Source organism: Homo sapiens, chromosome 2 (assembly GCF_000001405.40).
Source record: "Homo sapiens chromosome 2, GRCh38.p14 Primary Assembly".
NCBI lineage: Eukaryota > Metazoa > Chordata > Mammalia > Primates > Hominidae > Homo > Homo sapiens.
In genome coordinates, this window is record NC_000002.12 from 10,588,763 (window position 1) to 10,602,973 (window position 14,211).

Sequence of the window (14,211 nt, forward strand, 5' to 3'; positions counted from 1 at the left end):
GTATTTTACTGCATGTAAACTATACCTCAAAAAGTTGTGACAAATAAGTAAATCCCCTAGAGACCAATGTACTTCAATAGCGACGCTCCCCTCAGGCCTCCTGGGTGCTTCCCTCACATCACCTCCTGCACGGCCTTACCTCCCCTGCTTCCCTCGTCCCCTCCACCCTCTGCACCTCCATCATCCAAAGACAGAAATGTCATCTTTAGGGCAATGTGCCAGAGAGGAAAAGCAAGGGCTTGGTTACATGTCAACTGTGCGCTCAGGCAGTGCTACTCACTTCATCAGTTTCTGCTTTGTGGCAGAATCTTTGAAGCTTCTAAATTCTTCTCCTGCTTTGATCTCATAAAACTGGGGCTTTAGGACTGTCTGCTGGTCCTCCTTGAGTCGTTCCTGCCGCTTCACTTTTTCCTCCTGCTGGAGGAGTCTGCGTTGCTTCCTGACCTCTTCAACCCAGGCTTTTTCATCATCTGAACTCTCCGAACTTTCTGCATCACTTGGTTTTCCTTCCGGCTCTTCCTCCTCTTCCTGAGAATAAAAATAGTAAGCAGCAACTCCTTTCCCCCAGTCAAACACAGACCCCTTGGTTTCTCTGAAGCAGCACTGGCCCATTAATGAGTGCCTAACAGCTGCTCTACTGCATGCATCAGGAGAAATGCCTTTAAATAAATAAGATAATACTCCTAAGCCCAATGTCAAACACTTAATATGGAATTAATTACATCTCAAGTATAATCAAAGACTCTTCTAACTTACAAAGAAAACATTACATTAAAGAAACAGTAGCAAATTCTAACTGATAAGGAGTACATTACTTTTTCACGAAGTTCTTGTTGCTCTAAGAGTCTTAGTTTCTTCTTCCTTTTTTCACTAATTTTTGAAACAAGTGGATTCAGAAGCCTAAATTCTTCACTCTCTTCATCTACTTGGAAGTCAGGGTTCTCAAACATAACTTTAAATCGATCATCGGTGAGAATATTAGGAAGACTCTACAAGGAGGAAAAAGTACGTAAAAATTTAAGTTAATATCTGACTAAAATTTGACCAGAAACATGGTTTTAAAACACTGATTCTATTATAAGTTAATAAGCGGCATGAGGCATACATTATTAACTCATTATGAAATTTCTTCCAGGACTTTCAACGTGCCCCTAGGTTTTAGCTGCCACCACCAAAACAACCTCTATTAATCTACTTTGCAGATGCTCTACACCACTTGGCCATTACACACAATGAGCCAAGAATGACCCTTTTGGCTAACTTTATGCTTAACAGATTAGAAAGAATTTCTTCAATTAACATTTTAATGCAAAAAAACACCTTTCAAGAAGATACTAGGTTTTTAAAAAGTGGCTTTTATTATTTTTTAGAGATACGGTCTCACTCCAGGCTGGAGTGCAGTGGCACAATCACAGCTCACTGCAGCCCCAACCTCCTGGGCTCAAGTGATCCTCCCACCTCAGTCAGGCTCCCAAGTAGCTGGGACCACAGGTGCACCACCGCACCCGGCTAATTTTTTATTTTTTGTAGAGATGGGTCTCACTATGTTGCCCAGGATGGTCTTGAATTCTTGGGCTCAAGCAATTTCTCGTGCCTTGGCCTCCCATAGTACTGGGATTACAGGCATGAGCCACTGAAAACAGGGCTTTTAAATAAAGCTTAGTTACTACACTGACTTAAAATAAGCAATTCTTTCAACTTCAGATTCCAAAACTGGGAGAGGAGGTATACAAAGTCAGTAACTCACATGGTGGGATGCAGGAAGCTGGTGATGTCAGTTTACCGATTCCAGCTGAGTTACTGGGAAACAGAAGGGACGTTTCCATCCCCTACAGGGTTGTTTCATCAATATTCCCCCTCAGGTCAACTAATTGTTGTCAAAGGATATTGTGTATCCTTCAGATACAAAAACTTTGGCTACTGAGACCCATTTAGATAGCTCAGGACTGATACTAAATTCCTTTTTATTTGTACCATTTTCAATGGAAAGTTTTCTAAACTGTACTGTAAACTTACCTGTTCACTTAAGTAGATGACAGAGAATCTTACACATTTAGGACTGTCTTATTGTTCCTTCTCTGCTACAGGCTTGGAAGCCAGATGAAACGGCTTACTCAGAATTGTTTGTCAATCAGAGTAAACAGCCCTGAACACTGCTGGAAAAAGCTGACCTGTTTGTGATGGACTCTGACTCTGCTGAACAGACTACTTTACTATTTCTCCACTGTTGAGAGTAAACAAGATTGCAGGCAGTTGAGTTCTGAATATTATTTGTGTGACAGACCTATACAAAAGTTTAGTAAATCATAAGATATTAAGGAACTTGGCCTGTTTATTATTTGTATGTACCTAAAAACAGATAAACCCTTACCTAAAATTCTAAGATATTAAATGCAGCAAGTTTCCCTGATTAAACATCATTTCCAAGAAAGACTTACAACGAAGGGAAAAAGAAAGGTAAGATCGAGTTCCTGATCCTAAACTAGTAAGGAAGAAAAAACACTGCAAACACGTGCTACTAGGCCTCTTCTGAGGGCTGCTCGGTAGTGCTGAAAGTGCCACAGGAGAGGACAGAAAAAGGAATCCCAACAAAAGACACCCCAGGAGGGGCCCTGGGGGGTGCAGCATCAGGGAGGGGGCTTGAAAGATGAGTAGGTTTCAACAAGTAGAAATCTGAAGAAACAGCATTTCCAGCCGATGGGAGTGGTGAATAGTCTGGCGACATAAGAATGATGCAATTTCAAAACAATTTTTTGATTGGGTCATACTGTAAAGGATTTTAAATACCATGACTGTTATTTTGAAGATATAAGGGGAAACCACTAGCGAAGAGGAGGAGGGGGAGGAAGAAGAGGAAGAGAAAAAGGAAGAGAAACGAAGGAGGGAGACAGGGAAGGAGGGAGGAAGGAGAAGATGGATGATCAACAGAAGTGTGCTTCAAGACTCCCAGATGACAGAACTGGCCAGGTGGTGGTTCATGCCTGCAATCTCAGCACTTTGGGAGGCTGAGGTGGGAGGACTGCTTGAGGCCAGAAGTTCAAGACCAGCCTGGGCAACATGGTGAGACGCTGTCTATACAAAATATAAAAAATTAGTCAGGCGTGGTGGTGCATGCCTGTAGTCCCAGCTACTTGGAAGGCTGAGGTAGGAGGATCGCTTGAGCCTGGGAAGTCAGGGCTGCAGTGAGTTGAGATCACACCATGTACTCCAGCCTGCGTAACAGAGAGACCTTGTCACAAACAAACAAACAAACAAACAAACAAACCAACCCAAAATTGTGCTTCAAAAGTCTGCAGCAGCCTGATGTCTGACGGACTGCTGAGTAAGAAGTTAGCATCATGAGAAGACTAAGAAGCCATTTTAAGAAACTGGCAAGAGAGACAGGGCCTGAATTAGGGCAATGGGAACAGACAGTTTTTAAGAAAGAATAATTACGAGATACAGTTCTAAATTAGAATTGACAGATCCAGCTATGGAGATGGGAGGGTTAAGAATTAAAAACAGGGTTAGAAACTTCTCTCAAACATGTAGCTTAAGCAACCAGAAAGCTGGCGACACTGAGTTAGAATCCATCACTGGAGAGCATTAGGAAAAAACGCAGGGGTGGAGTAAAGGGGAAGAAATCACGCTCCATTTAGGGCTGCCTATGCCTGTGGCACAGGGAGAAGAGCACCAGGATTCAGACGGACACCACTAGGTGTCTGGGAACGATGCGCCATGTCTCAGGAGAAGGGAGGGGGCTATGATGTAAATTTTGGAGTTATCTGTAGATATCGGATAGATGATAGTGTGAAAGATAATTTCAAATGAATAACTATGTGCCTATTACACATTTTCAGGTTAAAAAAACCCAAGGGCAAATATTTACTTTTCATCTTACTATATTTATTAAAGTAATAATCATATTTAATAAATAGAGAAAATGTTACAAAGACTACATATGTTGCTGGTATTAAGATTTTTTTCTTAATTTAAAACAAATCAATTGCATTGCCTAAAGACAAGTATGCTTTGGATGAACAACTATAAAATAAAACCTCTTCTGACCCAGCTTGTAAAAATATTTCCCTCAGGGTTTTTTCCTAGTCTGTTTGTTTTCACAGCTGTCTTAAGGAAAAAAGTAGGATAAGGTATAGCTATTAATGTTCTATAGGAGCTTACAAGTGTCTGGCTAGTGATCCGTCCTATAAATACCCGTCTACACATGCTCAACTTTACCATTAAAATATAGAAAACATTAAAGTACTATTCATACCACAGTCCTACCTGGAAGAATGGTATCTGTCTACCTGAGTGGGACGCCTATTATTATTTTGTTCCAACATAGTAACATATATGAAGAATGATTGCCATTTGAAACAAATTAGTTTTTTTTTTTTTCTTTTTTTTCTTTTGAGATGGGGTCTTGCTCTGTCACGCAGGCTGGAGTGCAGTGGTGTGATCTCGGCTCACTGCAACCTCTGCCTCCCGGGTTCAAGCGATTCTCCTGCCTCAGCCTCCTGGAGTAGCTGGGATTACAGGCACGCGCCACCACGGCCGGCTAATTTTTGTGTTTTTAGTAGAGACGGGGTTTCACCAGTTGGTCAGGCTGGTCTCAAACTTCTGACCTGGTGATTCGCCTGCCTCGGCCTTCCAAAGTGCTGGGATTACAGGCGTGAGCCACTGCACCCCGGCCAATCAAATTAGTTCTTTCAATGCTATGATACCTATGAAGTTAGGCTGGTACAGACTTCTGAGTAAAGATGGTGGCTTGAACACTAGTATCTTCTAATCTCTCCTAAAACTTCACTAGAACAACAGAAAAGGAGCTTTATAAAAAGGGCATAAACCCTTAAGAAAAAAAGGAAAGGAAATAGGGGTAATAAAAATTTGGAAGCCAGAAAGAAAGCCTATTTAAAAATCACACCCCAGCTCTGGAAAGCCTGGCCCCAGCCCTTTCCCACGGAGAAGTTGCTTGGCTGAGGCTGGCACTGCAAGAGCAAGAGAGGTGTGCTGGCCACAAGGAGGGGAGGGCAAGGCTGGCACATGGGGGTGAGGTGCCCTCTGGACCCCTCCAACCTCTTGTGACCTACAGTGGTCAGTTCTAGGAATGCTGGTAGCCAGGCCTTTACCCCCCCAAGCAGGAGGACCTGACCAGCCAAGAGAAAGACCTAAGAGACAATGACATGTGCAGTGTCCTTCCCCAAACAGTGTGGCCAAGTCACTGCACACTGACTGAGGGACCCTGTCCCCACCTAGAGTTTTCATTCAGTTTTTTAACTCTCTTATTCCTCACTGCCAAAAAATAACTATGGATCATGGCAGGAAAAACTAATTGAAATTTTCTTTCAAGAAAATTCCCCAGCACTGAAGACCGAACTTCTAGACTGAGATGGGCTTGCAGCACAGTACAGTCGCTTCGTGTCAGGTTTCCCAGGACGCTTCCTCTTCCTGGGCTTACACTGTTATTTTAGAGAAACAACTCCCCTAGCAACTTCCCGAGGAAAAGCAGCATTTAAGGGGAATTGGTTGTTGTTGAGAACTTGCATGTCTGAAAATATCTACCATACCCTCACATTGACTGACTGCTTGCCTAGGTTGGAAACTATATTCCTTCAGGAAACTGAAGGTTCTTGTAATTCTCTGTCCAACATGGGCTGAGGTGAAGTGAATCCCCAGGATAATGGTAAAGGGAGGTCCCGGGATTAGAAGGTGACCAGGCTAGAATGGAATGGGGCAGAAAATTCTAGAAGCAACTTCTTCAGGAAGGTAAATAAGCATAAGTCTAACCTATCTAAACACCTCAAAATAAGACTTAGAGAACTGACATAGAATTGGGTGTTGATTAGTGATAACTACATAGAAAACGAGCAAGAGAGACAATTATTAACTTCAAAGTACACAAAGATTGAACAAGAAATGCAGTCACAGATTACTACTGACTCGGCTGGAAATAGCACTTACGTAGGCCAGGCATGGTGGCTCGTGCCTGTAATCCCAACACTTTGGGAGGCTGAGGTGGGAGGATCTCTTGAGCTCAGGAGTTGGAGACCAGCCCGGACAACACAGTGAGACCTCAGCTCTACTAAAATATATACATACATATATATTAGCTGGGTGTGGTGTGCACCTGTAATCCCAGCTACTTGAGAGGCTGAGGTGAGAGGATCACTTAAGCCCGAGAGACTGAGGCTGCAGTAAGCTATGATTCTGCCACTGTACTCCAGCCTGGGTAACAGGCTCTATCTCAAAAAACAAAAGTACAACAATGTAATGCTGAATACCAACTTAATCAAAATCACAATATAGCTTCCTTGGAAAGGAAAGTTATCAAAAGATAATGCCTAACACTAAAAAGTTAAGAGGTAGGACTACAGGCAAGAGGGAGGGAGGGGGAGGGGGCAGAGAGAGAGAGAGAGAGAGAGAGAGAGAGAGAGATTTATACCAAAATAATCAGCAAAAAAGGCAAAAGTGGTTGTCTGAGAAGAGGTGAAAATGGAGGAAGGCAGAGGGAGGAAAAGGGGCAGACAATGGGATGGCCTACATTCCTAACAAACCTTGGAGAAATGTTTAGGTTTTTTTTGTTTTTGTTTTTGACAGAGTCTCACTCTGTTACTGGGCTGGAGTGCAGTGGCACAACCATGGCTAACTGCGGCCTTGCAGGGAGATCCTCCCACCTCAGCCTCCTGAGTAGCTGGGACCACAGGCATGCACCACTACACCCAGCTAATGTTTTGTAGAGATGCGGTTTCACCATGTTGCCCAGGCTGGTCTTGAACTCCTGGGCTCAAGTGATCCTCCCTGCCTTGGCCTCCCAAAATGATGGGATTACAGAAATGTTTTTTTGTTTTGTTTTGTTTTTGTTTGTTTGTTTGTTTTTTGAGATGGAGTCTTGCTCTGTTGCCCAGGCTAGAGTGCAATGGCGTGATCTTGGCTCACTGCAACCTCTGCCTCCCAGGTTCAAGCAATTCTCCTGCCTCAGCCTCCCAAGTAGCTGGGATTACAGGTACGCACCACCACACCCAACTAGTTTTTCTATTTTTAGTAGAAATGGGGTTTCACTGTGTTGGCCAGAGTGGTCTCAAACTCCTGGCCTCAAGTGATCTGCCTGCCTTGGCCTCCCGAAGTGCTGGGATTACAGGTGTGAGCCCATAATGTTTGTGTTAGGCACTGTGCCCAGACTGAAATGTTTAGTTTTTAAAACTATGCATGTATAACTGTAATTTAAAAAAAACAAAAATTTTAATTGATACTAAAAAAGCTTTAAAAATAATATTTTGGATGTTAAAACTGACCTGATCCAACCCAAAGTATCTGTACCTAATTGTATTCCCTAGAGAGATGAGGTATTACTTTAATATAAGTTCTCAGTGGTATTTAGTAATTCCTGAAACTGCTAAAATATCTCTTCCATGGGTTCCTAACCACAGAATACACATAGCCTAGAACAGTGATCCTCAACCTTTTTGGCACCAGGGACTAGTTTCGGAAGACAAGTTTTCCACAGATGGTGGTGGGGGGCGGGGGGCGGGCGCGAGGGAGTTTTGGGATGATTCAAGCGCATTACATTTATTGTGCACTTTATTTCTATTATTATTACACTGTAATAACAATGAAATAATTATACAACTCGCCATAATATAAAATCAGCGGGAGCCTTGAGCTTGTTTTCCTGCAACTAGAAAGTCCCATCGGGGGCTAATGAGAGACAGTGACAGATCATCAGGCATTAGATTCTCATAAGGAGCTCGCAACCTAGATCCCTCGCATGCGCAGTTCACAATAGGGTTCATGCTCCTATGAGAATCTAATGTGGCCACTGACCTGACAGGAGGTGGGGCTCAGGCAGTAATGTGAGCAATGGGGAGTGGCTGTAAATACAGATGAAGCTTGAGGTTCACCTCCTGGTGTGCGGCCTGATTCCTAAAAGGCCCCAGACCAGTACCATGGCCTAGGGGTTGGAGACCCCTGGCCTAGAGATCTCATGCACAGTCCTGCCTGAGCTGCTGCAGAATGAAAGAAAAGTACATTCATCAGAGACTTTAAGGCCACAGCAAGAAACTGACAAAAAAGACTAACATACAAAAAATGATACCTATAGGAAAAATAGCTCTAACCAAAACTCAAACCCTCACAAATCAAACAGATCACAGATGCCCATGCCTCTCAAAGCTGTTTGTGCATACTGGAAATTCAATACATATTTGTTGAAAGAATAAATACATTCATTCATTTTTTTTTTTAAAGAGATGCTGTCTTGCCCTGTAGCCCAGGCTGCAGTACAGTGGTGTGATCATGGCTCACTGCAGACTCCAACTCCTGGGCTCAAGTAATCTTCCTGCCTCAGCCACCCAAAGTATTGGGAATACAGGCGTGAGCCACTGCACTCGGCCTTAATTGTTAACTAGAATTAATGCAACCAAAATTTCTGAGTTTGGATAATGTCCATATAATACTGATTGACATTATGTGGTGGGCCACTTCCCATTTTAGGTTCAATATCAACCATACAGTAAACATCTTATTCGATTTTTGTGTTCTCAGTGGCAGCAATATTTAGGAACACATTTCACTGTCTCCAATAAATTTCAGCTGCAGACAAGGCAAAACATACCTTTCAAATTGGTATTGCAAGATACCTACTTTCAAATCAGGAGGTATCACAGCTAGTAAAGTTCTCAAGCTTTTGAGGAGCTGAGTTCAAAGGCGAGACTAATGATCTGCTGATGAGACTTAGCAATTCTTTCAAGTAGTCTTTTAAATTATAATGAAGGATTCTTTCCTTAATTCATGAGTGATTTCTACGATCTTCACTTTACATAAGATGAAACTGTTCAACAACAAATTATACAAACTTTTTCCAAGCACAGCCTCAGATTTTCAAAAGACCATATATAAATATTTCTGGAATGAAACTGAGCTCTGATAATAGGTCTGATTTGGGCTAGGAAGTCACCAACAAGAAGATTAGGGGCACATTTTACAAATAGTACTCTTTGGAAGAATTCTGTTATCACGTGATATGGCTACAAAGATCACATTTCCAGCTATGAAGAGCTGAAGAGAAACTGCTGTTTGATGGAAGAAGATAGGAATTTCTAAGGTTCTTCCTCCTTTTCACTGGAAGTAAAATGGTACACAGCTTGGTAATTCTTTACAGGGTGACCCACCAATAGGTTTTAAAATAATCAAATGCCATCCTGATAGTTAATTAGAGAATATGTAGCAACAAAATGAGTGAACATCAACGGAACGTAGATGTGACTGGAGATAACAGAAAGGCAAGTTCTTGATTCGCACGGTGCCAAAAGGAAGGAGTAGCTAAGGAATGCAGTTAAAGAATACCAGGTGCCCCAACAAGACGGTTCAAATTTCAGTTATCTCTGTTCATCAACTGAGTATGTTCATAAAGTATAACTCCACAGCGAGCTCTTTAGTCCACAAATCCCTACGTAAATAATGGGTTGCTTTTCTCAAAGCCTGTCAGTGACCGGACACTGCATCAGGCGGTGTGATGCACCGTGAATTTCCTGTTCAGTTCCTGCAGACAGGACGCGTGTGTAACTGTTGCATTGCTTCTTCAGATACCGAAGACAAACTCGTGTGACATTTACAAAAAAGAATAATTTACAGAGAACTAATCAACAAGATAAAACTGCAACAACAAAAATGTGAATCAAATTTAAAGGGAGTTATAGAAGAAAGAGCTGGCTGTGGGAATACAGGGAATGTGGCTACTGTCACTGGCTGGCACTCTAAGTCTGTAGTGAGGGGACCACGTAATGGTGAACCTCTGAAAACAAATGAGGAAAACAGCTGTGACAAGAAGAAGAAAAGTGTCCCAGTGGAAGTGACACTGGCAAAAAACTTTACATGAAAGGAACTCTCAGAGACAATTCATAACGTCAAAAGAGCAAAGGATGAAACATCGGAAGCTTATCCAAACTTAGAAAGTGAGTATGACAATTTGCTGAGGCAAAGAAAAATGCTGGCTCCGTATCAAAAGTTTAGGAGGAGAAAAAAGTAAGCACTGTTCCAAGTACTATTGACAAAAGAAATAAAAGAAAGAAAATAAAATACTCAATTAGGCTTTATTCCTAATGTTTTAAATTACAATATAATGAAAAGATCCTAGTTTTCCAATTTATAATGGACAGTAAGAGAGTTTTTAATGTTTTGTCAAAAATGTTTAAAGGCATGGAACAATGCTAATTTTCCCACCTGACCATGAGGATTGCTCTGCATGTGTTCAACTTGTGAGGTCATTTCCACCATCCTGCACTATGGGGTATTCTAAATCTTCTCTGGCTGCCCTCAACCTCAGCAAAGGTCTACAAAGAAATGGGGGGAAGGGAAGGGCACTTCTGCATCTAGATAATCACAGGGCCTTATAAACAGGCTCTGGTATAGCATGCTGCACAAAGTAGCAAAATTAAATTGTAACTTAAGTATTCTTGCCTCTATCAGATGATAAAGACTCTGGCATAAAACACAGATAGGAATGCAAACATCTACAGTCTAAGTTAGCTCTACTCTCTATCTACTGAAGCCTTAGGGCATGGCATGTACATCCAAAGATCACTTCCATTTAGCTTTTACTGTAAAATGACATTACAAAGCAGAAAAGTTACCTCCCTAATCATGCTTAGGCTTAGCTAACAAGAAGATCAGTGTGAATACTCTGAGGAGAGAGTCAACACAGCAGCAAAGACTTGTATTCTAAACACTTAAAGATATATATATTCATTTATACACATTGGTGTAACTTAGGAAGGTGCAGAGCCATTACACACAGACATAAATTCAAATATTAATAAGTTTGAGGAATTATTTCAACATTGGCATACTATTCATGTCATGAAAATGGAAACCTAAAAGTCCTCTATTTACTTGAGAGGCTTCCAGAAATTAAAATTTAAACAATATACTAAAAGAATGTAATAAACGAGGATGAGGGGATGCAGGGAAAGACTAAGGAAGCAGAAGACAGCAAGGGGGAGTCTTGAGTCTGAATCCATTTGGAAAGCACAGCTCTAAGAATGCCCATATCCGGTCCTTGCATGTTACAGATGAAAAAACTGTGACCCCATGAAGACGAGCAATCGCCCAAGATTACATAAGCAGTGTGCCAAGAGCTAGGAACAAGACCCTTCAGTTGCAGTCCCTGGGTATTGAAAAGCATGAACAGAAATGAAGACAAAAGGAGCTCACCCATCTTAGATGCACGTACCTGGTTAAAAACCAGAGGACAGAGAAAGAATAAGCTTAAAAAAAAAAAGAACCTCCTGAGGGCACCACACAGCTGGCCCAAAACTACAAGGTCAGCTCCTTACTCATTAGGTTCTGCAGGCTGTCGCAGAGATCAGTTCTTTCCAACTCATTCCAGCACATAACCAAGCTTGGCTATCTGCCTGCCTCATCTAAGCAGAGAAAACAAGATTGGCAAGGACCCAGGTACCTTCATACATCTGAAAACACTAGAAAAATCTCACCTCTGGACAATACCAACTAAACAAAGTGCTAACTTTTATTTATCTTATGACTGATCTTTGTCTATTTTCACATTAATAAAGGAAAGCAGGTGGAAGTTACACTTCAGCCTGCATACTCGTAAGAACACCAAGTCCAAATAAAAATCAGTTACTTCTGGAGTTATGAACAAAGAAAAACAATAATCTAAACGTTTAACAATAGAAGGATTGAGTAAATTATAATCACTTCATAAAACAGAATATGTAGCCATTAAAAATATTTACAAAGAATTTTTAACAAAATGGGAAACCACCTGTGTTATTTTAAAGAATCAGGATAAACATTTTACACATACAAGACTCTTGCTATTGTAGTTTCTAATTTTGAAACAAATAAGACAGGAAGAAAATTCACTGAAATATTAATGATGCCTTTCTCTGGTATAAGAATCGTAAGGATAGCTTTCTTCTTGATATTCTTTTCTATTTTCCAGACTTCCCATCTTAAGCATATACTAATCTTATACGCAGGAAAGAAAAAGTCCTACATGTATTTTTAAAGTAAAAAGAAACAATAAAAAAGATGTAAGTTACTATCAACAAAACGCAGAAACAATTTGCCGATACTTTTTCACCTTACCTTAACTTTCTTTTTCCATGTAGATTTCTGCTTCTCCTCTTCTTCCTCAATTAATTTAAGTGCCAGCTCTTTGTTAACTTTTGGCAATTTCTAGAGAGAAAATAAAAGCTGGTATTTTATTTTATTTTAAAAGCTAACATATTTACATATTAGCTTAAAGGTAAACAGTTGTGTAAGTATAATTTCATAAATAGGAGATAACTAATTCTTATTTTATTATTTTTTTTTTGAGATGGAGTCTCGCTCTGTCACCCAGGATGGAGTGCAGGGGCGCAATCTCAGCTCACTGCAACCTCCGCCTCCCGGGTTCATGCCATTCTCCTGTCTCAGCCTCCCGAGTAGCTGGGACCACAGGCACCCGCCACAACGTCTGGCTAATTTTTTGTATTTTTAGTAGAGACGGGGTTTCACTGTGTCAGCCAGGACAGTCTCGGTCTCCTGACCTCGTGATCCGCCTGCCTGGGCCTTCCCAAAGTGCTGGGATTACAGGCATGAGCCACCACGCCCAGCCAACTAATTCGTATTTTAAAAATTTCATTATCCTCATAGTAGGAAATGTAGACAGGTGATGATACCAGGTGGGCCACATGGCAAAAAAACGGCAACCCCAGCTTACTGCTAGGGAACTCGCCCTCATTTCTCTTCCCAGGGCACTGAGAGCCTCTTTCCAGTGCACTGAGAGGCAGCGCAATGGCTCATGACTGTAATCCCAGCACTTTGGGAAGCCGATGGGAGGCTCACTTTAGCCCTGAAGTTAAAGACCAGCCTGGGCAACACGGCAAAATTCTGTCTCTACTAAAACTACAAAAAATTAGTTGAGTGTGGTAGTGTGCGCCTATAGTCCCTAGCTACTTGGGAGGCTGAGGTGGGAAGATCACTTGAGCTCAGGTCGAGGCTGCAGTGAGCTCTGATCATGCCACTGTACTCCACCATGGGCAACAAAGCAAGATCCTGTCTCAAAAATACACCAGAAATCTTTTAACAGTCTGGAAAAACAAAAAAGTACTGAGGGTAAATGCAGAAAACAGTCACTAGTCTTTTATAGTGACAGAGTATGTACGTATACCAACGTTCAGTTATACACATTGGTATCATTTGGTGGTTGAAATGAACCAACAGGGGCGGCTGCAGACAGACTGCAAGGCAGGTGCAGGAGCAGGGCCTGCCCTTCTCTGTCTACACTGGCATCACACAACAGCAACTCTTTGTCCTGGAAACAACAGCTGGTTCCACAGCAGTGGTGGATTCCAGTTTGCAGTTTCCAACGCTCCCAGGAACATCCTTGCTATTATGCCTCAAGGGCCCTGGAACCGGCCTGTGGCCCCTCCTCAGAGGCCTGGGTCCAGCTCCACGGGGCCTCCTCTTCCTATTCCCCAGGCTGTTCCGCAGCTCTGAGTTGGTGGCTGCTTCCTGCAGTTTACCTCTCTCCTCCATCCTTTAGCAGTTCTGTCTTTTCAGTTCTCCAATACCAAGTTAATCATTCTTTACATTAAATTCTATGTACTCAGACAGAGAGTGCAGTTTACGACTGTCGACCATTTCCCATGATCCAAACAGAGCCTAAGATACGGCCAAAGGTCAGTAAGGAATAGGGATTAGCAAAGCCCGGATACTCCAAAAATGGAAAACCCATTTAAAAATGCTATCAGGTTTCTAGTGGAGGTGACAATATCAATCATTCTAGCATTATGTCCCACAGTACAATTACCGCAGAGGTCATAATGCGAAAATTGTAAAGAGTTTTGCACCCTCATGACAAACATGACACACTGATGACAAACAAACTATACCAAAAATATCAGTAAAAGATGCAAATTAAAGATGGAAAATCAAGAAAAGAATGGCAGATTTCTTTGGAATAATACACAAAATGGAAATTAAGTACTCTTCTCTGATAAATTCAATGGTAAGTATAATATTTACCTTTAACTGGACTCTCTGTGCACGTGTTTCTTCTATTTTCTGTCGTATTTTATCTTTCCTATATTCTTCATAAGCAAATGGATTTACCATCAGTTTCACCTTTTCAAAATGAAAAAAGTTTTTAAAATAAAAGAATGGTATTTGGTAATATCATTTTCATATACACCACGACAGTTATGCCAAAGAACAGGCAGATCC

General features: G+C 41.6%; 1 protein-coding gene across 7 annotated transcripts in view, besides 1 other annotated feature; it reads right to left on the bottom strand.

The window, feature by feature from the left end:
* Positions 1-14,211, bottom strand: part of NOL10 (nucleolar protein 10) — a 119,222-nt gene that overhangs the window by 18,009 nt on the left and 87,002 nt on the right. For all 7 annotated transcript variants that reach the window (NR_048552.2, NM_001261392.2, NM_001261394.2 and 4 more), the window contains 4 exons: positions 14,014-14,112; positions 12,091-12,180; positions 816-989; positions 281-528 (listed from right to left, as the gene is read on the bottom strand). Coding sequence is in view for 6 of the 7 variants with exons in the window: in NM_001261392.2 (NP_001248321.1) it covers positions 281-528; positions 816-989; positions 12,091-12,180; positions 14,014-14,112 (611 nt within the window). In the remaining variant the exon portion in view is untranslated. The remainder of the gene's footprint in view (positions 1-280; positions 529-815; positions 990-12,090; positions 12,181-14,013; positions 14,113-14,211) is intronic.
* Positions 431-1,630: an enhancer, noted in NCBI's record as "CDK7 strongly-dependent group 2 enhancer chr2:10729319-10730518 (GRCh37/hg19 assembly coordinates)". NCBI's record gives its function as "activates an origin of replication core promoter dependent on BRD2, BRD4, P300/CBP, MED14 and CDK7 cofactors, with strong dependence on CDK7, by STARR-seq in HCT116 cells {active_cell/tissue: HCT116}" and the evidence as "EXISTENCE:reporter gene assay evidence [ECO:0000049][PMID:35650434]".